This window comes from Homo sapiens, chromosome 15, assembly GCF_000001405.40.
Source record: "Homo sapiens chromosome 15, GRCh38.p14 Primary Assembly".
Taxonomy (NCBI): Eukaryota; Metazoa; Chordata; class Mammalia; order Primates; family Hominidae; genus Homo; species Homo sapiens.
The window spans coordinates 78209900-78237431 of NC_000015.10; the positions used below are offsets into that span (position 1 = coordinate 78209900).

Genomic DNA, 27532 nt, shown 5'->3' on the forward strand with positions numbered 1-27532 from the left:
AAATCCTCCTAATCAAAAGGTATGGGCAGCACTTCTCTCCCCACAGAAAATTAGTGTAAACTGGTTCTGGTTTTAAAATAGCTACACAAAGACTAAATGAAAAGACAGCCACCAAAGGAAGCCAAGGGTCAAGCGTACTTATCGTGATTAGAACCTTCTGTTTATAGGGACGATGAGGCTGTTGGCAGCACCTTCTTGCTGCGGGTGGGTGCCTTTTCCTGGAGGGGCAGCACCCAGTGCAGTGTCAAATTTCTTGTTGCTCAGACACTGATCTTGTCCAGCAACCATGGTCAATGAGAGGGTGGACCGTGGCCCTCTGCCAGCATCAGTTTAACAAGAACACCTTCCTTATCCCTGTGGCTGGCTCAAGGCACTGATTCAACTCTCTATGCCCTATGCTTACAGAATTTGGGGCGCATGATTAAAAGAATGTCAAAACCTAATTCTCCAAATGAATTAAGCCTGATCTTTTCCTCACTAGGGGCTTTGAGAGGTGGTCCCTTTGAAGAGATGTCATCCGAAATAGAATGTGCTAAACCTCCAGTAACTTCCTGCTCACACAGAGTTATAACCAGTAACAGGCTTTCCTGACCTGACTTGTCACACAGAAACAAGTGAAACTGCTCGGGCCATCTGCCTCTCCTCATTGTGAGTGCTGTCTCACACTCGTTGTTGTTCGTAATGGTCGTCTTTCAGTTTTTATTTTGTATGTATGTATTTATTTATATTTTGCAGACAGGGCCTTGCTCTGTTACCCAGGCTGGAGTGCAGGGGCACAATCACCACTCACTGCAACCTCAAACTCCTAGGCTCAAGCAATCCTCTCATCTCAGCTTCCTGAGTAGCTGGGACTACAGGACAGCACCACAAAACCTGGCTAATTTTTGTATTTTTTGTAGAGACAGGGTCTTGCTATGTTGCCAGGCCTGGTCTCCAACTCCTGGGCTCAAGCGATCCTCTAGCCTTGGCCTCCTAAAGTACTGGGATTATAGGCGCAAGTCACCATGCTCGGCCATTTTTTAGTTTTTAATCCTCTCCTCTGTGACTAGCAGTCACTTCTTGCTACTTTCAGTGTGCTGGCTTCTAGCAATTCATCTCACTCCTACATTGCCATTTCTTTTTGTAGCAGAATAGAAAACAAAACAGCCAAGCTCGTTAGAACTTAGGTTACATTGGGGGACAAGTTCCACAATGGAACCTATCATGTTTTCTTTGAAGAAAAGAAGCTAAGGTTTGGGAAGCTGCCCCTACTCTGTCTTAACTCCTCAAAAGCATTTTGGGCCCTTCTCCTGATTCTTGCTGCTATTCCAGGAAGGACAGGTGGCTGTAAATGATCCTACAGGTGAGTTGATATTACTGTCATTGTGATCATCATGAGCACGCCGAAGGCGATTAACATATTATTCCTGTCATTCTGGAAAATTATGCTCCTTCTGGAAGGCAATACTCCAGAGGTTGGCGGAAGTCACCTAACATGATTAATGACAATAATGGTGGAAGAACGGCCTGAGGAGGCTGACTGGCTTCTGTCTGCATTTTGAATTCCCAGGAGGAAGAAGAGCTTACAAGGTTGGCCCTTTTCACTCGTCTTTGAGGACGAGAACAAGGATTCATTCTCTGACCTCAGCTCACATAAGCACACTTTAAGCTCATCGCCTTGCTCTCCTTTCACAGAAAACAAAAACACTTTATCAGCAGCTACCCAGCAGCATGGGAACAAGAAAACAAAGGGCGTGTTTGAGCAAATATGATGTAAGATGTGTGGGGGGCAGAGGAGCCTGGGAGCGTCTGCACTGCGCCTTTCTCTTAACCATCTCTTGGTGGATTGGTGTCTCCTTACTCCTTCTACCTTGCCAGAGGAGCTGATGGGAACCATTTGCACACAGAGCCTCCCAAGCCTCCTTCAACTCCTCCTGCAGGAAGCCCTCCTAGATTTCCCCAACACCCTCTCACCCCTGTGGCCCTTGGATACTCAGGTTTGGGCTTTGATGGTCACACATGGCTTGACAGCTGGGGCCGCTTCTGATTCAGCTCTGTCCTCTGGCCATGAGTACTTACTGTTGGAGCTCAGTACATGTTGGTTGGACCTAAACCTTCTCAAGTTGTCACTATGTGTGTGACACATAAGTTGAGGAGGACCCTCATTTCCCATGTGAACGCTTCACGGATGAGGATCCGTTTCCCATTTATTTCTGTTACCCTTTCTTCTCACTCAGCCTTCAGCAGCCAGGCCACTGTTGTGTATGAAGTAGGTGCTCAATGAACGCTTTCTTGAAACAGGATAGCATCAAAGTTCACCAGTCTGTCTGCCTGCTTGGGCACAACTCACTTTACTAGCTATGTGGCCGAGTCACGGTTCCTCTCTGGCCCTCGGTTTTCTGCCCGTATCCTGTGGCTACTGCAAGGAGAAGGTGATATATAAGAAGTGCTTAGTACGTAGTCAGCTCTCATCATTATTACGCATGAGCTCTCATGGATCTTTGGGGGCTCAAGAAGAAAAGGATAACTTGGCAAGATTGAGAGGGTGACCAGCAGAATGAAAAAAACCCTAAACCCAAGTCTGGGGGTCCAGGTTGCGTGCCAACTACTTTCCCTGGGAGACTGGCTGCGGGGCAGGAGGCGGGGGAAGGTGGGCTCCTTGTTCCTTACGCAGTCCTCAGGATGGAGCTGGCAGACCTGAGCAGGAGCACCTCTGGCATGGTGCCTGGGGGGTGGCTGCAATCTGTGAGCTTGCCCAGGAGAGAGCCAGAACCTCAGAGAACATGTCACGGAGTCCCCCCGGGAGAGCCACAGCAGCCCCAGAGAGGCCCGGCTCCACCGGACCGCCCTGCAACAGAGATACAGCGTGAGTCACCGCTGGCAGCCTGGCTGGGCGAGGGGACAGCTGCCCTCTTTCCTGGCTATGACTCATCTGCTCCTGGGGTGGGACACCCTGCTGTAATTTATGGCCTCATAAGCCCAAACACCCTCAGAATCAATGGAGAATGCCTCGCAGGAGGTGGCTGCCTTGGGGCTGTGGTCTCCATTCCCCACAGCCAACTGATGAGCAAATAAAATCTCCAGGACTCCTGCTTTGCAGAGACTTCTGGCTACCATTCACCAGCCTCCCCATCACTTCTGGTAGTTCCCATCTCTCTCTGCTCAGCGGGCAAAGCAGAACTGACTCCCCAATGGCTGGAGAATGTTCTCCATGGAAGGTGTTGCCTAACTAGTTCCCCATATCCTAAAAACCCCAAACAGGGAGAGCAATGCCTCCTCCAAACCCCACAGTGCTAGTCACACAGGCCTGTGCACAGCCTGATGCTCCCAATAGCAACAATATAGTCTGCAATGGCGATTCACGCTAGCTTCCCCATCACCCTGCGTGGCGGACCCCACGCCCCCTGCTTCTCTTTAGTCTGCATGGACTGCCTCACTTCAAAGATTGGGCCTCTGGCAGCTCTCTCCTAATTGCCAATTCCCAGCCTGAAGACCCCCATAGAGGACTCACGGTAGAGGGTGTGCCTGGGGGTCTGGCTGCCCCAGGGTGCTCACCTTCCTCCTTCTTGCACCTGGCAGGCACAGGGCTCAGCAACCCCTCTGCTCCCTCAGCTAAGGCATGCTGAGTATGGGAGCCAGTCGCTGTGGATGCCCCAGGTTCCGGGTGATGAGGCAGTGGGGTTGGGCATGAGTGGGGACCCGCCCCAGCCTGCCCTAGGGCTGCTGTTGAGGTGTAGCCCCAGATACCTCTGACCTATATGGCACGGGACCCAGTTGCCCACCTGTGTGGCTCTTACATAAGAAGGGTGGGCGGCAGGAGAGGCAGTTTTTTGGCCGTCATCCTTGGCAGAGCCTTGGGAGACAGTTCCTGCCACTGGGTCCCCCAGGGCTGGGCGAGAAGCTCGTCTTTTTGTTTGGTTTGGTTCCTTACTAAGCACATGTACTATGCCGAGTGCCTTGTGTTGGCTTCTCCCATTCTCTCCACGGCCCTGCAATGTAGGTTTTATTAGTAGTCGCATTTTCCAAAAGAGGTGATAGAACGCTAGACTTGCTCAGTGTTGCCCAGGCAGCAAAAGACAGAGCCAGCATTGTGAACAGGGGTCTCCACGGCCTGCTCTGAAGCCAGGATGCTACGTACACAAGGTTTACCCAGTATGTGCATGTCATAAAACTTAGCCAACCATCCCAGCTCCCCCCATTCCCACAGGAGAGCCCCTGTTCCATGGTAACAAATATCCCTGCACCTTGCGCTGTGCCTTCTAATACCCCCTCCACCCTCTACCTCCTCCTTCACTACAGGGACTAGCCGGTCTGTGGCAGCAGCCAGCCCCCACCAGCATTTTCCTGCTTCCTGGAGTTTCCTGGGGGCTGTCCCTGGTGATCTGCCCACCTCTCAGCCCCCTCTCCCACTTAGGGAGCTCACACACTCCCTCATCTTTAATTATTACCTGCAAGCTACAACTCCCAAATTCCAAATTGCCTCTGGCGTGAGTGAGGTTTGGATGAGGTGAAAAAATGGAGGCAGCCCTAGCTAGTGTTAGGTGGAAATTTTAAGCCCTAATTATTATTATTATCTTTTGAGACAAAGTCTCACTCTGTTGCCCAGGCTGGAGTGCAGTGGCCCGATTTTGGCTTATTTCAAACTCCACCTCCCAGGTTTAAGTGATTCTCCTGCCTCAGCCTCCTGAGTAGCTGGGATTATAGGTGTGCACCACCGTACTTGGCTAATTTTTGTATTTTTAGTAGAGATGGGGTTTTGGCCATGGTGGCTAGGCTGGTCTTGAACTCCTGACCTCAAGAAATCTGCCTGCCTCAGCTTCCCAAAGTGCTGGGATTATAGGAGTGAGTCACTGCGCCCAGCCTCAGCCCTAATTTTAAGGCCAAGGAGCAGGGCACAGAGGCAGCAATTGGGACAGGGGTTGTTCAAGGTCCTCCACCTAGTCAGATGGCAAACGACTGTCAGATTGTTACCCTAAACTGGTAGGTCAATGCCAGCACTCTTAACTTCAAAAGAATTCTACCCTTCACCAAATTTCAATTACATCTCAGCAATTCTTGCCTATTGCCACTTCAGGACACCCTAACAGTTTGACTCGAATACTGGTCCTGAGCCTCTGATGCGTTAGGACCCCTTTTGAGAAGCTGCTGGGAGCCCCCCCATAGACCCCCATCAATGCACTTTGCACCCCAATGCTCTCTTGCTGTTTTTTGTTGTCACAGGACTTCGGAAGCCCATGCTATATTAACGACCCCAATCCTAGTGAATCCCAGAAAGGAATTCAGACCTCTCCTTTGTCCTGAAGAGCTAAAGATGAACTTGTTTCTCTTCTCCTCCTCCCTCTTCTGGTGAGGGCTGAGTCATGATGTTAATGAATGGAATTGTCACTGATACTTGACGTTGGTAGAGAATGACAAAAGAAATGTCCTCAAATGTCCTTCAAGGCTAGCTCTGGATGCACAGTGTCCAAACTGATGAGGTTTGAAAACCTCAACAGTGGCCAGGCATGGTGGCTCATGCCTGTAATCCCAACACTTTGGGAGGCCGAGGCGGGTGGATCACCTGAGGTCAAGAGTTCAAGACCAGCCTGGCCAACATGGTGAAACCCCGTCTCTACTAAAAATGCAAAATTAGCTGGGCGTGGTGGTGCATGCCTGTAATCCCAGCTACTTGGGAGGCTGAGGCAGGAGAATTGCTTGAACCTGGGAGGCAGAGGTTCCAGTGAGCCGAGATTGTGCCATTGCACTCCAGCCTGGGCAACAAGAGCAAAACTTCGAAAAAGAAAGAAAAGAAAAAAGAAGAGAAGGGAAGGGAAAAGAAAAAGAAGGAAAGAGAGAAAGAAAGAAAGAGAAAGAAAGAAAGAAAGAAAGAAAGAAAGAAAGAAAGAAAGAAAGAAAGAAAGAAAGAAAGAGAAAGAAAGAGAGAAAGGAAGGATGGAAGGAAGGAAACTTCAACAGTTATAATGCCAGCACATGGCTCATTCCAAGATCAGGAAGGCTTGGGAAATGTGTAATCTACCCTTTCGTCTCCTTACAAAACCCACTAGCTGACCTGCTGTGGTAGAGCCGCCTATGACACTTTTCAAAGCTCGCCTTCTCTGGGAGGGACCTCAGCCCTCATGCTTCTTCCTGGAGCTGCCCTGGCTGATCTCCTCCCAAGGCACTCAGCATTTAGAAACTGGGTATTGCTTTTTTAAAAAACATAATGGACTGTCATGAAATAAAAATATGAATTAAGTCCTCATTCCCAAAGTTGGAATTGATTTCTTCCTGCCCCAGTGACTGACAGTTCCCTGAGGATCCTCCTTCCTTCTATGAGTATTGATTTAGCACCTCCTCTGTGCCGGATGTTGCATGGGACGAGGGGGTATAAAGTGACAAAAATGGACACAGTCCCTGCCTCGAAGATTTAGAGATGATGGGATCGATGAACAAAGATGCATTCTTTGCAGGGTTGCTGGGCCCAGGCTTGGGGAGGGGGTATAATGATGTTAAAGGAAGAAAGCTGGCAAGGAGTAAAGGTCTGATTATTTCATGCGAGACAGCATGGGAGGCTAGCGCAGAGGAGAGGACTCAAGGCCAAGGTGATAGGCATGGACTGTGGACCATCCCCAGTCTCGGTTTTCCAGCTCACACGGGTGGGGTTTTGGGCTGAGCAGAGATCTGCTAGGGACCTATAATCTTTCAGAAAGGGTGAGGGCAGGGGTGGTTTAAGACATATCCCCCTAGAATCCACTAGGAAGAACATATTTGGAGCAGGCACCCTGGAGCCCTTGACTGACTGAAGCCCCCAGCCCAAGACCCCAAAGGAAGTGTGTTTGCTGAGAGGCCTCAACCCCCAAGGCTCATCTCAGCTCCACCTTGGCTCCTGCCTGGGTGGGTGGGGCAGCCCAGCCAGCTCACTTCTTACCCAGTTGGCAGTGCTCATAGTGTCCAACTCTGTCATGCCAAATCCCACAGCCTGCTGTATACAAATAAATGTGTCAGACATCAAGTTCCACTCCAAAGCCCTAAAGGAGTTGGCAAGCAGCCTGGCCGTACCCAAGACAAAGTTCTCTGGGCACCAGAACATCTGGCTTCTAGCCCAGGCTCTGTTTCAGTTTTGTGACCTTGGGCAAGTCCCTGGTTCATTCTGGGACTCTGTTTCCTCAGATATCACAGATAAAGGGCCTTCTCATTTTCTATCTGTGACTGGTCATCTAGGGCTCTGGGCTGGAATTCTGCTGCATCAGGTAGGGACAAGGCTGCAAAGTTGGGTGCTGCCAGGCCCCCCAGGCCCAAGGATGCAAAAGAAAACCAGACAGGAATAATCACAGTACTAGCTTGTAACTAACACATAACCAGCACTGCGTCTCAGACAATGTTTTATGCACCTTACACATGCAATCTTCGTAACAGCCCAATGAGGTACTATTAGCACCCTCACTTTACAGATGAGGAAACTGAGATACAGAGAAATTAGGGAAATTGACAAGGTCCTTTGGTTAGCAGAGTCACAATATATACTTGGGCAAGTGGGTTCCAGAGTTTATGCTCCTAACAAGCCAGCCATACCGAATAGTCTCAGGCCTGTTGGGTGACTGGGGTGGAGCAGGATAGGGACAAAGAATAGGGAGGTACAGAGAGTGAGGCACTTCAGGGTCCTCTAAACCCCTGCATCCACCATTCATCATCAGACCCTTTTGGAAAAATTTTTTTTTTTTTTTTTGAGATGGAGTCTTCACTCTGTCGCCCAGGCTGGAGTGCAGTGGTGCGATCTCGGCTCACTGCAACCACTGCCTCCTGGGTTCAAGCGATTCTCCTGCCTCAGCTCCCCGAGTAGCTGGGATTACAGGCACACGCCACCACACCCGGCTAATTTTTGTATTTTTAGTAGAGACGGGGTTTCACTACGTTGGTCAGGCTGGTCTCGTACTCCTGACCTCGTGATCCGCCTGCCTCGGCCTCCCAAAAGTGCTGGGATTACAGGCGTGAGCCACCGCACCCGGCCTGGAAAATGTTTTATATAAACCATGCGCATATATTAAATCGTAATCCAGGTGTTTTCATATGTTGTATTGATGACAGACACAGAGAACGGCCAGCTGGTGGTTTTGGTTACCACAGGAAGGGCAGTGCGATGCTCAAAGCTGACATAATTTCAGCCCAAAGCAAAGGCTACTAGAAAATCACCATCTCCCCATTGCTTGCCATTTTTATCCTAAGTACCGCAAGCGTGACTTTAGGTACTCCTCTCCTAGGAGGGCCTTACTTAACCCATTTGTAAAATGGGGAAAGGGTGGATGGGACGGCCTGTAAGTCCCAGCTCTCAAGATAGGTAATTCTCTACCTTTCTTCCAGGGAGATGAGAAGAAAGAACACTGCCTATTCCTCAGACTCCAGAGGAACTTTATGGGGGTGGGAGTGGGGGTAGGGGTGAAGCTGGGGTGAGGCTTCTGCCAGTGGAGGCATTGTGGGGGCATTGTGCTCTGCAGTGGGCTGGTTCTGGCTCACAGACTTGGTCCCTGCCGTGGAGGAGCCCAGGGTTTAAAGAGGAAGATAAAGACACACATACACAGCCTGTACACGTGAGAGGCAGCTCTGAATGTGGCAGGCAAAGGGGTCAGGCAGTGGGGACACAGAGCAGAAGGAGCCTGGCCTTTTAGGGGAATATTATTTCACTTTTTAAAAAGTGACAACTAACATTTGCTGAGCACTTAGTATGTGCCAGGCACTGTTCCAATTGCTTTACACAAATTAATTCATTTGATTATCTCCTATCAAGTGGGTACTGAATTACAATCCCTATTTTATGGGGAAATGGAAGCATAGAGAGATGAAGTAACTTGCTAAAGGTTATACAGATAGTAATGGGGATGATTGAGTTTCAAATCGAGGCAATCTGACTTCAGATTGCATCTCCCTTTTTTTTTTTGAGACGGAGTATCGCTCTCCTTTTTTTTTTTTTTTTTTTTTTGACGGAGTATCGCTGTGTTGCCTAGGCTGGAGTGCAGTGGCGCGATCTTGGCTCACTGCAACCTCTGCCTGCCGGGTTCAAGAAATTCTCCTGTCTCAGCCTCCCGAATAGCTGGGATCACAGGCGCCCACCACCATGCCTGGCTAATTTTTGTATTTTTAGTAGAGATGGGGTTCCACCACGTTGGCCAGGCTGGTCTCAAACTCCTGACCTCAGGTGATCTGCCCACCTCGGCCTCCCAAAGTGCTGGGATTACAGGCGTGAGCCACTGCACCCAGCTGCATCTTCTTAACCACTACTATATGCACTGCCTGAATTTAGGTGAAGCTCTATGAGGTCCTTGGCACCTCTCCATACAGCTCAGCAACACAGGATTTCCTAGGAAGCAATCGACTGGAATTGCTTAGCACAGTGGCTAAGATACTTGGTTATTGTGCATGGTGGTGCACACCTGTGATCCCAGCTACTTGGGAGGCTAAGGCAGGAGAATCGCTTGAACCTGGGAGGGGAGGTTGCAGTGAGCCGAGATTGTGCCACTGCATTCCAGCCTGGGTGACAGAGTAAGGCTTTGTCTCAAAAAAAAAAAAAAAAAAAGTGAACTTGAAGACAAAATAGTAGAAACTATTCAATCCAAAGGGTAGAGAGAGAACTATTTTTAACTTGAACAGCACAAAACATTATTGAATGAAATTAAGGAAGACCTAAATAAATGGAAAGATATCTCATGATCGAGAGACTTAATATTGTTAAGATGGTAATGCTCTCCAAATTTAACCACAGGTCAACACAATTTTAATCAAAATCTTAGCTGGCTTCTTTGCAGAAATTGACAAGCTAGTCCTAAAATTTGTATAAAAATTCAAGAAGACCTGGCCGGGCGCGGTGGCTAATGCCTGTAATCCCAGCACTTTGGGAGGCTGAGGCAGGCGGATCACAAGGTCAGGAGATCAAGACCATCCTGGCTAACATGGTGAAACCCCGTCTCTATTAAAAATACAAAAAATTAGCTGGGCGTGGGGGCGGGCACCTGTAGTCCCAGCTACTCAGAAGGCTGAGGCAGGAGAATGGCATGAACCTGGAGGCGGAGCTTGCAGTGAGCTGAGATCACACCACTGCACTCCAGAATCTGGGCAACAGAGTGAGACTCCGTCTCAAAAAACAAACAAACAAACAAAAAATTCAAGAGACCTAAAATAGTCAAAACATTCTTGAAAAAGAACAAAGTTGAAGGATTTGCACTTCCTGATTTCAAAACATTGAAAACCTACAGTAATTAAGACAATGAGGTACTGGCATAAGGACAGATATATAGGTGAATGAAATAGAATTAAGAATTCAGAAATCAACTCACATTTAAAGTGAACAGATTTTCAAGAAGGCTACCAAGACAATCCAATGGGAAAATATTTGTCTTTTCAACAAATAATGCTGGGACATGTGCCAAAAATAAATAAATAAAGTTAGATTCTTTCCTCATATCACACACAAAATTAACTCAAATGTATAAAAGATCTAAACCTAAATGCTAGAACTGTAAAAATATTAAAAGAAAATATTAATAAATCTTTGTGACCTTGTGTTAGGCAAGTTTTTTTTTAGATAAGGTTAAAAAGCGCACAAACAATAACAAATAAATTGGACTTCATCAAAATTAAAACCTGATGTGCTTCAAGGGACATCATCAAGAAAGTGAAAAATTAACCCACAGAATGGGAGAAAACATTTGCAAATCATACATGTGATAAGGAAATTATATCTAGAATATATAAGGAACTCTTACAACTCAATAATAAGAAGACAAATAATCCAGTTAAAACTGAGCAAAGGATTTGAATAGACATTTCTCCAAAGAAGATATGCAAATGGACAACAAGCACATTAAAAAATGCCTGGCATCATCAGCCACCAGGAAATGCAAATCAAAGTCACAATTAGATAGCACTTCATGCCTGGTAGGATGGCTATAAATAAGAAAATAAGAACAGTGTTGGCAAGGATGTGGAGAAATTAGAAACCTCCTATACTGCTGGTGGGAATGCAGATACTTTGGAATACCATCTGGCAGTTCCTCAAAAGGTTATACATAGAGTTACCATATGATCCAGCAATTCCACTCCTTTGTATATACCCAGGAAAATGAAAACAGATGTTCACACAAAGACTTGTACATAAATGTTCACAGCAGCACTTTTCATAATAGCCTAAATATTAAAACAACCCTGAAGGGGGCCCTGCCCCTCCACACCTCTGGGTATTTCTCATGAGGAGGGACGAGAGACTGAGAAAAGAAATAAGACACAGAGACAAAGATATAGAGAAAGAACAGTGGGCCCAGGGGACCGGTACACTCAGCATGTGAGGACCTGCACCGGCGCCGGTCTCTGAGTTCCCTCAGTATTGATTACTATTTTCACTATCTCGGTAAGGGGAGTGCAGCAGAATGGGGTGAACAGGGTGATGGTGGGGAGAAGATCAGCAAGGAAACATGCGAGTAACAGAATCCGTGTCATAAATAAGTTCAAGGGAAGGTACTGTGCCCAGACGTGCACGTAGGCTAGATTTATGTTTCTCTTTACCCAAACATCTCAGTGTAGCAAAGAGTAACAGAGCAGTATTTCTGCCAGCACATCTCACCTCCAGCCACAGGGCAGTTTTCTCCTATCTCAGAACAGAACGAATAGTTAGCTTTACACGAGACATTCCATTCCCAGGGACATACGGGAAACAGAGGCCTCAACTGCAAAGGGGCCTTCCTCTTTTACTAAACCTCCTCAGCACAGACCCCTTACAGGTGTCGGGCTGGGGGACAGTTAGGTCTTTCCCTTCCCATGAGGCCATATCTCAGGCTGTCTCAGTGGGGGGAAACTTTGGACAATACCCAGGCTTTCTTGGGCAGAGGTCCCTGCGGCTTTCTGCAGTACATCGTGTCCCTGGTTAATAGAGAATGTAAAATGGCGATGACTTTTACCAAGCATACTGCCTGCAAACATATTGTTAACAAGGCACATCCTGCACAGCCCTAAATCCCTTAAACCTTGATTCAATAAAGCACATGTTTCTGTGAGCACAGGGTTGGGGCTAAAGTCACAGATTAACAGCATCTCAAAGCAGAAACAATTTTTTCTTTGTACAGATCAAAATGGAGTTTCTTATGTCTTCCTTTTCTACATAGACACAGTAACAATCTGATCTCTCTCTTTTCCCCACACAACCCAAATGTCCATCAACTGAGGAATGGGTAAACAAAATGTGGTATGTTCACATAATGGAATATTATTTGGCCATAAAAAAATGAAGTACTGATACATGCTACAACATGGATGAATCTTGAAAACATTATGTTAAGAGAAAGAAGCCAGTCACAGTAGATCATATATTGTATTAGTCCACTTAAATGAAATGTCCAGAATAAGCAAATCTATAGAGACAAACAGTAGTAGATTTGTGGTTTCTTAGGGCTAGGGGGATTGAGGAGAAATAGGAAGTGACTACTAATGGGTATAGGGTTCCTTTTTAAGATAATGAAAATATTCTAAAATTAAGGTTGTAAGGCTGGATGTGGTGGCTGACGCCTGTAATTCCAGCACTTTGGGAGGCTGAAGTGGGAGGATCACTTGAGGGCAGGAGTTCAAGACCAGCTGGGCAACATGGTGAAACCCTGTCTCCACAAATAATAAAAAAATTAGCCAGACATGGTGACAGGTGCCTGCGGTCACAGCTACTTGGGAGGCTGAGGCAGGAAGATCACTTGAGCCCAGCCAGTGAGCCAGGTTTATGCAACTTCACTCCAGCCCAGGTGACCAAGCGAGATCCTGTCGCAAAATAATAACTAGAAAAAGATAATATTTTAAAAGCAACCAAAGCAGACGTGAGGTGGGATGGGGTGGGGAGGACATATTACATAAAAGGAAACTGATAGAAATGATAACTGACTTTTCCTAAGAAACAATGAAGATCAAAAGATACTGTAACAGTACATTTTAAAGTACTGAAATAAGTAAATGATCAAGCAAGAATTCTTTTCCAGTAAATATATCCTTGAAAAATAAGGTGAAAGAATGACATTTTTATTTAAATAGAAGATGGGAGGATTTGTCACCAGGAAACTGCTGAGGTGGCTTGAAATCTTACCTGCAAATTCTTTAACACTTGCCCCATCAATAGGTAGAATCTAATTTCCCTCTCTCAGAATCTGGGCTGGCCTTAGGACTGCCTTCTAACTAACACAACATATGGGAAGTAACCTATATGGCTTCTAAGGCTAAGTCAAAAAAGCAATGCAGTTGCCACCTGACTCTCTCAGGGCACATGCTTTTTGGATCCCTGACCCACCATGTCAGAAGTCTGGCTATCTTGAACGCGCGATGTTGGAGAGCATGTGAAGAAGCCACACAGAAATAGAGGCGCTGAACAATGAGAGCACATGGACATAGGGAGGGGCCTGTTGGGGGGTGGGGTGGGGGGAGAAAAACCATCAGGAAAAATAGCTAATGCACGCTGGGCTTAATACCTAGGTGATGGTTTGATAGGTACAGCAAACCACCATGGCACACATTTACCTATGTAACAAACCTGCACATCCTGCACATGTACCACAAAACCAAAAATGAAAATAAATTAAAAAAATAGAGACACGAAGGGCCCAGCTATTCCAAATCCTAGCTTAATGAGTCTATTTCAGGCACCAGATGTGATAAAGAAGACTTTGACAAGTCCCTAGCCTCAGCCACCAGCTGCCACGTCACAGACACTCAAATAGCTTATGGAGAGGCCCACTGGTAAAGAACTAAGGTCTCTGGCCAACAGCCAGTGTGGTAAGTTGAAAATGTCCCTCACAAGTTATCCACGTAGTGTTACCATGTGACCCAGCAAATGGAAAGCTGTTAAAATTAGCTTATATGGCAAAAACTTGGAAGAGATTTGAAGATATAATTAAATGAAGGATCTTGAGACTGAAAGATTATCTTGTATTATCCAGTTGGGCTCTAAATTCAATCACATGTATTCTTACAAGTGGGAGCAGAGAGAGATTTGACATGCACAGAAGAGAAACAACGTGACCACAGAGGCAGAGATGGGAGTGATGCAACTACAAGACAAGGGTGGAATGCTGGAGCACCAGGAGCTGGAAGAGGCAGGGAACAGATTCTGTCCTAGAGCCCCTGGAGGAAGAGCAGTCCTCCTGACACCTTGACTTTAGCCCACCGAAACCAATTTTGAACTTCTGTCTTCCAGAACTGGGGAAGAATAAATATCTGTTGTCTTAAGCCACCAAGTTTGTGGTAATTGTTACAGTGCAATGGAAAACTCACACATCCGGTGAGAAACAGGCTTGTCAACAACTTCATGAGTGAGGTTGAAAGCAGGTCTTCCCACTCCAGATGGCTGTTACCCTGGCTGACATCTGGACTGAAACATCATGAGAAACCCTGAGCCAGAACCACTCAGCTAAGTTGCTCCTGAATAACTGACCAATGGAAACCATGAGCAACAATAAGTGACTGTTATTGATTTAATGCACTACATTTTTGAATGATTTGTTAAGCAGCAATAGATAACTAGAACACCTTCACTACAAAAAATGCTGTAGAAATTTATTCAAGCTGGGCCGGGCGTGGTGGCTCACTCCTGTAATCCCAGCACTTTGGGAGGCCAAGGCAGGCAGATCACAAGATCAGGAGATCGAGGCCACCCTGGCTAACACGGTGAAACCCTGTCTCTACTAAAAATACAAAAAAAATTAGCCAGGCGTGGTGGCAGATACCTGTAGTCTCAGCTACTCAAGAGGCTGAGGCAGGAGAATGGCATGAACCCAGGAGGTGGAGGTTGCAGTGAGCCGAGATCGCGCCACTGCACTCCAGCCTGGGCGACAGAGCGAGACTCCGCCTCAAAAAAAAAAGAAATTTATTCAGGCTAAAGACACTTGTCCCTGATGGAAACATGAATATACAGAAAGGAATGGAGAGCACTATAAATGCTAAATATATTGGGAATAAAATAAGGATTTCCACTCTTATTATCTCTATTCAACATTACATTTGGAGATCCTAAAAGATGCAATAAGGCAAGAATTAAAAGGGAAAATGACTGGAAAGGAAGAAGTAAAACTTTTTATTAATAGCTACCAAAATTTTGAACATAAAAGTCTTAGGGGATCTACAAAAAAAAGTGTTGGAATTAATAAATAAATTTAGTAAGGTTGCAGGATATATGGTCAATATTAAAAAATCAATTATATTTATACTAACAGCAACTGACTAGAAAATTAAATTTAAAATACAGTTTTAGCTAGGCACAGTGGCTCACACCTGTAATCCCAGCACTTTGGGAGGCCAAGGCAGGTGGATCACCTGAGGTCAGGAGTTTGAGACCAACCTGGCCAACATGGTGAAACCCCATCTCTACTAAAATTACAAAAAATTAGCCAGGCATGTTGGTGGGCACCTGTAATTTCAGCTGCTTGGGAGGTTGAGGCAGGAGAATTGCTTGAACCTGGGAGGCAGAGATTGCAGTGAGCCGAGATCACGGCATTGCACTACAACCTGAGCAACAAGAGTGAAACTCTGTCTCAATAAATAAATAAATAAATAAATAAATAAATAAAAATAAATTAAAAAATAAAATAAATTACAGTTTTCATAGCAACAAAAACATAAAATTTCTAGAAATGTTTAAGAAAAAATGTGCAAGATACCTACACTGAAAGGTATAAAACATGGTTGAGACAAATCAAAGACCTCAATTAATGGAAATGCATACCATGTTCATGGATCAGATGATTCACCCAATTTGAAATATAGAGTCAATTTACTCCCAGTCAAATTTCAAACAGTCTTTTTTTAATCAACTGACAAGATGATTCTACATTTTACATAGAAGTACAAAGGATCTAGTATATTAGGAATCTATTATTATGTAACAAATATCCCAAAATGTAGTGGCTTAAAAAAAACAAACACTATCTCACAATTTCTATGGGTTAGGAATCTAGGCATGGGCTAGCTCTGGCTCAAAGTGTCTCATAGGGTTACTGTCAAACTGTCAACCAGGGCTGCAGTCTTCATATGAAGGCTCAGTGGAGGAGAATGAGCTTCCAAAAGCTGACTCATGTGATTGTTGGCAGGATTCAGTTCTTTGTAGGTTGTTGTCAATTCCTCCCTGAATGTTAGCTAGAGGTGTCCCTCAGGTCCTTACCACATGGGTCTGTCTTAGTGTGAGCAAGAAAGAAAATGAAAGAGAGCAATCAAAATGAAAGACACGGTATTTTTGTCGTCTAATCTCTGAAGTGAAATCCCATCACTTTTTGTAATTATACACTTTTAGTTATTTCAAAATGTACAATTAAATTGTTATTGACTACAGGGTTATTTTTATGGTCATAATAAAACTTATATAGAAATAAAAAAAAGAAATCCCACCACTTTTGCCATATTCTATGTTAGAAATGAATCACTAGATCCAGCCCACGTTCTAGGGTAGATGATTACACAAGAATCCAAAAGGCAAGAATATCAGAGGGCAAGAATCACTGAGCAATATCTTAGAGGCTGCATACTGCACCTAGCATAGACAAAACAATCTTGTAGGGGGAAATAATTCATGAAGTTAAAGGACCAACACTACCTGATTTCAAGATTTAGTATAAGGCTGTAGTAGTGGGCCAGGTGTAGTGGCTCCAGCCTGTTCATCCCAGCACTTTGGAAGGCCAAGGTGGGAAGATCGCTTCAGGCCAGGAGTTCAAGGCCAGCCTGGGCAATGTAGCAAGACTCCATCTCTACAAAAAAAAAAAAAACTTTTAAAAAGCTATAGAATGAAGACAGCATGATATTATATAAAGAAAGAGAAATAATTGCTCAATGGAAGAAAATCAAGAAATAGGCTGACACAAATGTGGTAAATTTTTGATAAAGGAGCCAAGCAATTTAATGTAGGAAATAGTAGAACACATAGAAAAATATATATATATATATAATATATATATATGACCTTGAAATAGCAAAGATTTCTTAGAGAGGGCACAATAGCACTAACCATAGAAGAAAAAAACTAGGTAAATTGGGCTTCATTAAATAAAAAAAAAATTTGCTCATCAAAAGACACACCATTGGCCAGGGGTGGTGGCTCACACCTGTAATCCCAGCACTCTGGGAGGCCGAGGAGGGCAGATCACTTGAGATCAGGAGTTCAAGACCAGACTGGGCAACATGGTGAAACCTGGTCTCTACTAAAAATACAAAACTTAGCTGGGCATGGTGCCACACGCCTGTAGTCCCAGCTACTTGAAGGCTGAGCCACGAGAATTGCTTGAACCTGGGAGGCAGAGGCTGCAGTGAGCCGATATCATGCCATTGCACTCCAGCCTGGGTGACAGAGCGAGACCCTGTCTCAAAAAAAAAAAAAAAAAAAAAAAAAAGATACACAATTAATAAAATGAAGATAAGCCACAAACTGGGAAAAAATATTTCCAATACATATATCTGACAAAATATAACCAGAATATATAAAGAATGCCTACAAATCAATAATAAAAGGATTAAGAACCCAATTACAAAATGAGCTAAAGATTTGAAAAGATAATTTACAAAAGAAGACATGGAAATAACCAATAAGCACATGAAAATATGCTCAATATCATTGATCATCAGGGAAATTTAAATTAAAATCACAGCAAGATATCACTATTCACCCACCAGAATGAAACTAAAAAGAGTAACAATACCCACTGTTGACAAAGATGTGGGAACTTCTGGCAGCTTCTTTAAGCACACACCTATCTTCTGATCCAGTAATTCTATTCCTAGGGATTTACCCAAGAAAATGAGAACATATGTCCACAAAAACACCTTATACAAGAATTTCATAGCAGCTTTACTCATAAAATCCTCAAACTGGAAACAACTCAAATGCCCATCAATAGATTAATGGATAAAAAAAATTGTAGTATAGCCACACAATGGAATTCTACTGAAACGTACAGACGAATGAACTACTGAGACACTTGGCAATACTGATCAATCTCACAAACATTTCGATGAGTGCAAGGAGCCAGACAAGTAACATTCTGTGTGATCCCAAGCATGCCATCCTCAAGAACACCTGGAACATTGGCTGTTCAGAACAGTGGTTACTTATGGGAAAGTGAGGGTGGAGATTGATTAATTGACTAATCTCTTGCCTTAGCCTCCTGAGTAGCTGGGATTATAGATGCATGCACCTCCACACCCAGCTGACATCTAAATTCTTATTTTACAGCTGCTCGGGGCCAGAGTCTGAGCTAGGCCCTAGATGTCCTTCACATGGTCACAACCTTTACAGTTTCCAAAGCACCTTCCCAGCCCTGTTCTAAAGTGTTCCTCACAGGCTCCTTTCCAAGGAGCCAGAATTGTCTGGGTAGGAGGCCAGAGCTGGGATCCAGGGGTCTCTCACAGGACCCAGTGTGAGATAGGGTTTTTTTCTACCACCACTGGCCCTAGATGAAACTGTGCTTTTGCGGAGCTGAAGAGGTAAGTAGTGAGTTCCCCTTCCCTAGAGGTAATCAGGTCAGAGTAGATTGATAATATGTGAATGTTGTAATACAGTGGGTTGGACTTAGTGACCTAAAAAACCTGCTTGCCTTGTACTCTGCCATTCAGGGGCTTGCCTGGAGACAGTGGGTTAGCTTTGGGCCCAGATCCTGACTTCAGGTCAGTTTGAGCTCTGCTGCCCCTGGCTAAAATCTCTGCAGCTCCTGAGAGGACTACCGCTGGCTTGGGCGGACTTGCATTCGGAAGTTATCCAGATCCGTACTCAGAAGTCTAGGACCAGGGTTGGTTTGCCCTAGAGACTCACGCTTTCCATGGATGTGCCTGACCCCTTTGATCTTGGGCTCTTGACACCAGCACCTTGATTTCCTGTGGCTTTTACATGATAGTCCCAAATCTGCCCTGTTCCCACTGGCTTTTAGTCTCTTGAACACTACAAGCTCCATCCCACCTCGGGGCCTTTGCACATGCTGTGCCCATTTCCTAGAAAGTTCTTCCCCTAGCCAACTCCTACTCCTGTTTCATGTCTCAGTTTAAATGTTGCTTTACCAGGAGAGCCTGCACCAACCCTCAAGACCAAGTCAGATCTTCGTTATATTCTATTTTTTTTAATTACCGACATTTTAAAAAAATGTTTGTATTGTGGTAAAATACACATAACATAAAATTTTCCATTTGAAATGTTTTTAAGTGTATAATTCAGTGGCATTGATTATATTCCCTTTTTTTTTTTTTATTCATTCATGGCACCTGTCACAATTACAGTTTAATTGTATAATTATTTGTTAATGTCTGTCTCCCCTGCAAGCATGCAAACTCCTTAAGGTAGAGACTTGTTTTTGTTTTGTTATATTCTTCAGTGCTTAGCGCAATGCCTGATTATTCTACAATAAACAATTTTGAATAAATGAATGCATTCTTAACAAAAACAAAGAAAAACAGTAAAGAAACAAAAACATGAAACAACTGTGTTTTTTACATAATGGGAAGTGGGCAGTGGGAGTGGGAAGAATTTCAGCACTAGAAAGCCCAGATAGTCCATGTTTAAGGACACTTGTGTTCTTTCAGTGACATTCGCCTTACGATTGCCCCTCGTAGGCTAGCACACCCCAGAGAGGCAGAGCGCACTCTCTGTCATCCTGGGAAAGCTCTGTCAGTGGGAACAGCCTTGCTCATGGGGCTTGTAGCAGCCTCCTGCGACCGTTCCACATCCCTGGCTCTTAGGGGGCTCCTCTCTGCACCCAGTCTTTGGGTAGGCAGCGCCGGGAGAGTCAGCTAGGAGCCCAGAGTGAGTGTGGTCACTTCAGAGCCTGACAGCCCTCCCTGGGCCAGATGGGACCCTTGGAGCTCCCAAGTCCTGGCCTCCTGCCTCCACCTCACCCCTAGTCCAGCCTGTACTCACTGCTGCTAGATTCACAAACCCCAAACCAGGCTCTCCCCAGGCTTCTGCTGCTTGCACCCCTCCCAGGGTTCCTGTCTGCCTCCTTCTTTGAGCCTGGCTGCCCTTAGTCTGGCCACGTCAGCCTCTCTAGGCCCAGGAGTTAGCCGGTCCCCAACCTGACCAGTCTCATGGCCACCCGTAACATCTTCACAATCATGCCTTTGGTCAGCACAGCGCCCTGCTTGCCATCCGGGCATCCACAGCCTTTCAAACACAGGATGGACTGTCCTCTTCTGAGGTTCCTTCCAAGCCCTTCCTCCACAATGGGCTTCCTTAGGCTCAGGGAGACCGGTGTCTCCACTGGACAGAGGGCTTCCCAGGGTCAGGACCCAGGCCCTGGGCAGGCTCAAGGGGTGTCCCTGATGGAGGGCATGGTCTACAGCCACAGCCTCAAGGGCACAGAACACAAGCTGCCAGAGCAGGGCCAGTGTTAGCTCAGACCCCACGGGTTTTGCCTCTCCTGGCCCTGGCCTGGCTGTTTCCTCCGGACACCTGCCCCAGTCACTGGGATCCAGCCCTGCAACTTGTGTGGCAGGGAAGGGAACTCTCGTGGGTCAGGCCAGGGTGCAAGCCCTCCTCGGGCTCTCAGCCTCCCCTTTCTTCCACCTCCTGTCTTCCCCTCTGCAACACTGGGAAGCAGGGGGAAGATAAGCCCCTCTCAGGCTATGGAGGAATGCAGACCCGCCTTTCCCCAGGAGCAGCCACCATGGCCACAAGGTCAGGGCAAACGGGCAGGACTGAGATAGAGCCCTTCTGATATGGTCTGGCTGTGTCCCCACCCAAATCTCATCTGGAATTCCCATGTGTTGTGAGACAGACCAGGTGGGAGGTAATTGCATCATGGGGGCAGGTCCTTCCCGTGCTGTTCTCGTTACAGTAAGTCGCACAAGATCTGAGGATTATTATAAGGGGGAGTTTTTCTGCTCAAGCTCTCGTCTTGTCTGCTGCCATGTGAGATGTGCCTTTCGTCTTCTGCCATGATTGTAAGGCCACCTCAGCCACATGGAACTGTAAGTCCAATAAACTTCTTTCTTTTGTAAACTTCCCCGTCTCAGGTATGTCTTTATCAGCAGCGGGAAAACAGACTAATACACCTTCCCTCCTGGAGTTGGCCCAGAGGAGCAGAGAAGCAGAAAGGGGCATCACAATGGTCACAACAATGATCTCTCTGCCTTATTTATCTAGTTTTTGAGACAGGGTCTTGCTGTGTCACCCAGGTGGAGTGCAGTGGTGCCATCATGGCTTGACCTCCCGGGCTCAATTGATTTTCCCACGTCAGCCTTCTGAGTAGCTGGGACCACAGGTATGTGCCACCACATCTGGCTAATTTTTTTTTCTTTTTTTGAGACGGAGTTTTATTCTTGTTGCCCAGGCTGGAGTGCAATGGCACGATCTCAGCTCACGGCAACCTCTGCCTCCCAGATTCAAGCAGTTCTCCTGCCTCAGCCTCTCAAGTAGCTGGGATTATAGGCATGCGCCACCACGCCTGGCTAATTTTTTTTTTTTTGTATTTTTTTAGTAGAGACGGGGTTTCTCCATGTGGGTCAGGCTGGTCTCGAACTCCTGACCTCAGGTGATCTGCCCACCTCGGCCTCCCAAAGTACGGGGATTACAGGTGTGAGCCACTGTGCTCAGCTTTTTTGTATTTTTTTAAGCAAATTTTTGTATTTTTTGTACAGACAGGGTTTCAACATGTTACCCAGGCTGGTCTCGAACTCCTGGGCTTAAACAATCCACCCATTTTGTCCTACCAAAGTGCCAGGATTACAGGTGTGAGCCACTGTGCCTAGCCTATTTTTTATTTTTATTATTTTTTTGAGACAGAGTCTTGCCCTGTAGTCCAGGCTAGAGTACAGTGGTTAATAGCTCATTGCAGCCTCACACTCCTGGGCTCAAGCGATCCTCCCACCTCAGCCTCCTGAGTAGGTGGGACTACAGGTGCACACTATCATGCCTGGCCAATTTTTAAATTTTTAGCAGAGACAAGGTCTTGCTTTGTTGCCCAGACTGGTCTTGAACTCCTGCACTCAAGCAATCTTCCTTCCTTGGCCTCCTAAAGTGCTAGAATTACAGGCATGAGCCACTGCACCTGGCTCTCTCTGACTTTAGAACAATGTTTTACAAGAATTAAGTTCTTTTCTCACAGCTGCTCTGCAAGAATGTCAGAGCAGGTTTAGCTTCCCTGTTTGACAGATGGGGAAACTGAGGCTCAGAGAAGGTATCTTGCCAAGGGTCACAGAATGGGTTAGGAGCAGAGCTGGACTGGAACCCAAGGCATGTGACCTCCAGCCTGCTGCTAAGAGTGTTGCTATGAGAGTTACTATGCCTGTGATGGGTAACTCTTATGCTTTGAAAACATTTTCATACACATTAGCTGATGGAATCCACCCAATTTTTCTGCAATGTCAATGAAGTTCAGGCGTTGTATATTTATTTGTACAGAGGATGCTATTGAGGCTCAGAAAGGTTAAACAATGTATCCAAAGTCACTCAGCAAGAAAGTAGTAGAACTGACACTCCAACTCTTGGGTTTTTAGCCTTTCTCTTTCCCTACGGGGTCCCAAGACCCATTTACCCTTTCAGGAGGGAGTCCTTCTCTGCACAAGCCTAGGGTTCTGCCTCAAGTTTGCCTACTTTCCTTCAGTGATGTCTGCAAAACAAGCCCAGTCCTCTGTGAGCTTTGCAGGGCACACAGGACCCTCTGCCACCCCTTTTCACCACAGGCCTGAGACACAGGCTCCTGTGGCCCTGAGCCCCACTTGGCCCCTCACTCACAGGGAGCAGAAGACCCTGAGATCCTGCAGACCTTGATTTTGTTTTCAAAGACTCCCCTGGCCCTGGCTGTCCTCATGCCTGTCTACCCCTGCTCTGGGCACATTTATTTCTTTTTCTTCTTTTTTTTTTTTTTGAGAAGGACTTTTGCTCTCGTGGCCCAGGCTGGAGTGCAGTGGCACGATCTTGACTCACTGCAATTTCCACCTCCCGGGTTCAAGCAATTCTCCTGCCTCAGCCTCCTGAGTAGCTGGGATTACAGGCACGTACCACCACCTGGCTGTTTGTATTTTTAGTAGAGACAGAGTTTCATCACATTGGGCAGGCTGGTCTCAGAACTCCTGACCTTGGGTGATCCACCCGACTCAGCCTCCCAAAGTGCTGGGATTACAGGCATGAGCCATCATGCATGGCCTCTGGACATATTTCGATGTGCTCCTCTGAGCATCTCGCCTGGCCTTCCTGCTCTCTGAGCCCACAGACCCCAGGGAGGAGGGGAGGTGCCAGGACACCGGGGCCCAGAGGAGATCCTGAATCTGCCCTTGGGTGAGGAAGTCAGTCCAGCTTTCTTCCAGGGGCCCTTGACCCTCTGTGCACCTGACCTATGCCCAGGGAGGGGCTTGCCCTCATGCTCTTGGAGGCTTTGCAGGGAAGAGTCCCTGCTTCTGGAAGAACAGGAGTCCACTTTGGATTAGCAGGGTTCTCTGGAGACCCAGGGCAGGGCCCAGATGCCAGCCCTCGGAGGGGCCTCTGCATCTCTGAGGCGCATTAACATCTGTTCCCATTTCCCTCTATCTTCCTTCCCCATAACCTTCCATCAGGACAGGGGCTGTAGTCTTGGTAGCTCAGACACTGGCAATTCCTCCCCATTACTACAGAGGACTTGGACCCTGGTATTTAGCCCCTGTCCTCCCCAGTTCTATGCTTCCGCCACCCAGACCTCTCCCATCCCCAAACTTCCTGTCTTGCTTTGTTAGGTCGTTCTCTCTGCCCACTGCTCTTGGCTCCACTCTGACCGTCAAGGTCCATCTCAGGCGCCCCAGTTAGAAACCTCCTTCTCTCTGCCCCTTCGCCTGCGCCCCTCCTGGACACAAATCACAGATGTTGGGGTCCTGGAGTTCCGTGTGTGTGCGTGTGCGCGTGCGCCTGCCTTCTTCCTGCCTTCTGGCCAGGGCATCCCAGGGCTGGGACTGAGTCTCATCTTCTCAGGATCCCCTACTCCCTGGATGGACAGGGCCTGGGCCAGGGTGGGCATTGGTGAATGCCTGATACGTTGAATCCACTTCCTCTAAATCACAGATTACTGGAATATATACAGTGGAAGGGCTTTAGGGAAACCTCAGCCACTGCACTCATATTCAGACAGGGAAGCTACAGCCCACGGAGGGCAAAGGCACTTGCCAAGGTCACGCAGCAAACTGGAGCGGGAACCTCTGGGTCCCCACCAAAACTTATCTGTCTTTGACCCCCGCAGGCAAAAGTCCCCCTTGAGGAGACAGGGAAACATTCTTGACTGAAAAATTCCTCCTCCATCCAACTGAGATCCAACTGGTCTCCAACTGCAGCCCCAGCTCATACCCCTGGGATGTGCCTCATTCTTTGATGAGCCTTTCTTAGCCATGCTAAGTAGCCCTCCAAATGACCAGTTCTTCCATCTTACGGATCGCCCAGATCCTTCCCTTCATTTCCCAGGTGAAGAAACTGAGGCTCAGAGAGAGAAGCAGCTTGCCCAAGTTCACACAGCAGAGCAAAGTCTAGAACTCGGCCCACAGGTGCAGTGTGCAGAAACCCAACCAATGACTTACCTGGTTTTCAATTTTTCTTGGGTGGTCCTCACAATCATGTCCTGCCGGCTCTCCTGTGGGGTCTCTCTGCTGTCCAGCATGCTGGGGTCCCCGTGTGGGCAGCCGTATCCAGCTCCAGAATTGCGTGGCATCTGCCTCGGGCTTCCACTGAAGACAGCTCAGTCACCCACTGAGAGAGGCTAGCCTTGAGTGAGCAGTGGGGGTGGGCATGGGGCAGGGGAGGCGGCAACTAGAGTGACCCAAAGAGGCTCATTTCCTCTCTATTTTTAGAAGCTCAAAAAAAATTGCTCCTCAGTGAAGTTTCTCAGAATTAAAACTTTCCTTTTCTTTGTGGTTTTGTTTCTCTCAAGATGAGGAGAATTTCAATGAAGCCAGTGTTCTTTTTGATGCAAATCCGCTCCGCTTCTCCCAGGAGGTCTGGCCAATGGGCTCAGGGCTTCTGGGCCCCCAGAAAACCTCCTCACTGGCTTTAAAAGGTCATAGTGGTTCTCAGCACAAATCCAGACCCAGATCCTGAAGTGGCTGCTACCCCTGGCTGCATACACTCTGCAACCTTGACTTGCGGTCTGCCGAATGCTGCCCTGGGAGGGATCTCACCCACTCAGTCCCCCTCCCCCAGGTCCTGCATGGAGGCTGGAGACCCAAGGAGGGAGCCCACCCCGGGGGAAGGAAGGAGACATTTCCAACACTGAGACCACGCCACATGGTCTATAGAAGCAGTTGCACTGAAGACATGATAGAGGCAACCGAGGAATGTGACTTTCCAGGGACACATGAATAGAAGCCTGGATCTGTCCCTTCTTCTAAAGGAAAGAAGCATGTTAAGGGGGGCGGGGGGGTTTCAGGCAGCCATAAAGAGATGGGAAATTCACACAGGACAAGGCCTTTTTCTGAATACCAAAAGTCTCCCCTCTAAGACCATGTATTCATTCCCCAGGGCTGCTGTAACAAAGTTCCACAAACTGGATAGCTTCAAACAACAGAAATGTATTCTCCCACGGCTCTGGAGGCCAGAAGTTGGAAATGAAGATGTGCGCAGGGCCACACTCCCTCTGGGGGCTGTGGGCAGACTCTTTCTTTGCTTCTCTCCCAGCTGCTGGGGGTCACTGGCCATCCTGGGTGTTCCTTGGCTTGCATGTGCATCTCTCCAGCCTCTGCCTCTGTCCTCACGTGGCTGTCTTTCCTCTGTGTCTATGCCTTAGTACATTTTCTGTTGCTATCACTGAATACCTCAGACTGGGTAATTCATAACGAAAATAGGTCGGGTGCGGAGGCTCATGCCTTTAATCCCAGCACTTTGGGAAGCCAAGGTGGGAGGATTGCTTGAGCGTAGGAGTTCAAGACCATCCTGGGCAACATAGTAAGACTTTGTCTCTTCAAAAAATAAAACAGAATTAGCTGGGTGCCACGCCGTGGTGTGCACCTGTGGTCCCAGCCACTTGGGAGGCTGAGGTGGGATGATCACTCAAGCCTGGGAGGTTGAGACTGTAGTGAGCCATGATTGCACCACTGCACTCCAGCCTGGGCAACCAGAGTGAGACCCTGCCTCAAAAATAAAACAAACAAACAAATTTAAAAAAACACCAAAACACACACACACACACACACACACACACACACACACAAAGAAATTGATTTCTTAAAGCTCTAGAGGCTGGAAGTCCAATATTAAGGTGCCAGCATCTGGTGAGGGCTTTCTTGCTACATCATAACGTGGAGGGCATCACATGGTGAGAGGGCAAGAGCGTGGTGCCAGCTCAGGTCTTTCTTCTCTTATAAAGTTTCCAGTTTCAACATGGGACCCCGCCCTGATGACCTTGCCTAACCCTAATTACCTCCCAAGGGCTCAACTTCCAATCAACATATGAATTTTGAGGTTAAGTTTCCAACATATGAAATTTGTTGGGAATTTTCCCACCATAGCAGTCTATGTTCCTATTTTCTCTTCTTACATGGACACCAGTCATTGGAGTAGGGCCTTCCCTGATGCCAAAGAACCTCATCTTAACTATATCTGCAGAGACCCTATTTTCAAACAAGATCACATTCTGAGGCTCTGGGTAGACATGAATTTGCTGGGGGACGCAATTAAAATCCATATACATTGTGTACAGGAGGTGTTAGTGGGGATACCTATGAGATGTCCCCAAGAAGAAATAGGTCCAGTTGGGCCACAGGTGATGCTGTCTGGTGAAGGCAGGTGACTGAGAAAAAGCTGGGCTGCCTTCTAACAAACTCAGGGCACAGGCCACAGGCCCCCAAATGCTGCCTTCCTAATGCTGTTGAAGGTACACTGAGCAGGTCGTCTGGGGTCTAGCTGCAAGGCCTGAATCTCCCACTGACACGCCCTCAACCACGATCTTGGGCAGATCTCGGCCCTCTCCTGGCCTCAGTTTTAACTGCTTGAATCATGAGGGTGATGGCCTGAGGTGGGCCAAAGTGGCCACCAGCTCCAACTGGACGTGAGAAGGTGATGGGGAGTCCTTTGCCCATGGGCTGATTGGAGGGATCGAATGAGTCACCACTGTAAGTGACAAGTCAGTGTCTCCCCACCCGAGGAGAATCATAATCAGAGAAAAAGACATAGAATGCTCAGCTCTGAAGTTCAAAAGCCTTGGTCAATATGAAAGCCTGGGAAGGTTCGGAAAAATGTGTAAGTTGTTCATTCCCAACTCCCCTTCCTTCCCCATCCCTCAGATTCTTATAGATCCAGGGAACCAGGAAGGGGAAGAGAGTCCAAACAGAAGCAAGGCCCTGGGGAGGGCCTTAAGAAGACCTCCCTTGGGCAGATCTTCCAGGTCTGAGCATATCAGGGACCTGAGGTGGCCCAAGAAAGCGACAGGGCCCCAGAGTGCTCAGCGCGGGCCACAGAGAAAAGATGGCTTCAAGGAACCAAAAGCAAAAAGGCCCGGCACACCCTCTCGCCAGGGCAGGCAGTGAACTGAGGGTCAGGTGGCTGCTGGAGGAGAAAGTTGGTGGGCTGGCAACAGAGGCTGATAGGAACAAGGTCATTCTGCAGTCACTGCGAGGAGGGCTGACCCCACCTGGGAACCAGGACAAA

General features: G+C 47.1%; 1 protein-coding gene across 5 annotated transcripts in view, besides 1 other annotated feature; it reads right to left on the bottom strand.

Moving 5' to 3' along the window:
* ACSBG1 (acyl-CoA synthetase bubblegum family member 1) overlaps positions 1–24666 on the bottom strand; it is a 67098-nt gene extending 42432 nt beyond the window's left edge. For 3 of the 5 annotated variants that reach the window (NM_001199377.2, XM_017022025.3, NM_015162.5), the window contains exon 1: positions 24472–24666. In NM_001199377.2, coding sequence (NP_001186306.1) covers positions 24472–24602 — 131 coding nt within the window. In that variant the 5' untranslated portion in view covers positions 24603–24666. Of the gene's footprint in view, positions 1–2649; positions 2828–3534; positions 3969–16555; positions 16707–24471 lie in introns of those variants that run through there. The other 2 variants (XM_047432273.1, XM_011521390.4) reach the window with 2 other exon arrangements.
* Positions 15988–16067: an enhancer, noted in NCBI's record as "active region_9913". NCBI's record gives its function as "activates an Ori minimal core promoter by ATAC-STARR-seq in GM12878 lymphoblastoid cells {active_cell/tissue: GM12878}" and the evidence as "EXISTENCE:reporter gene assay evidence [ECO:0000049][PMID:35858748]".
* Positions 24667–27532: the final 2866 nt, after the last annotated feature.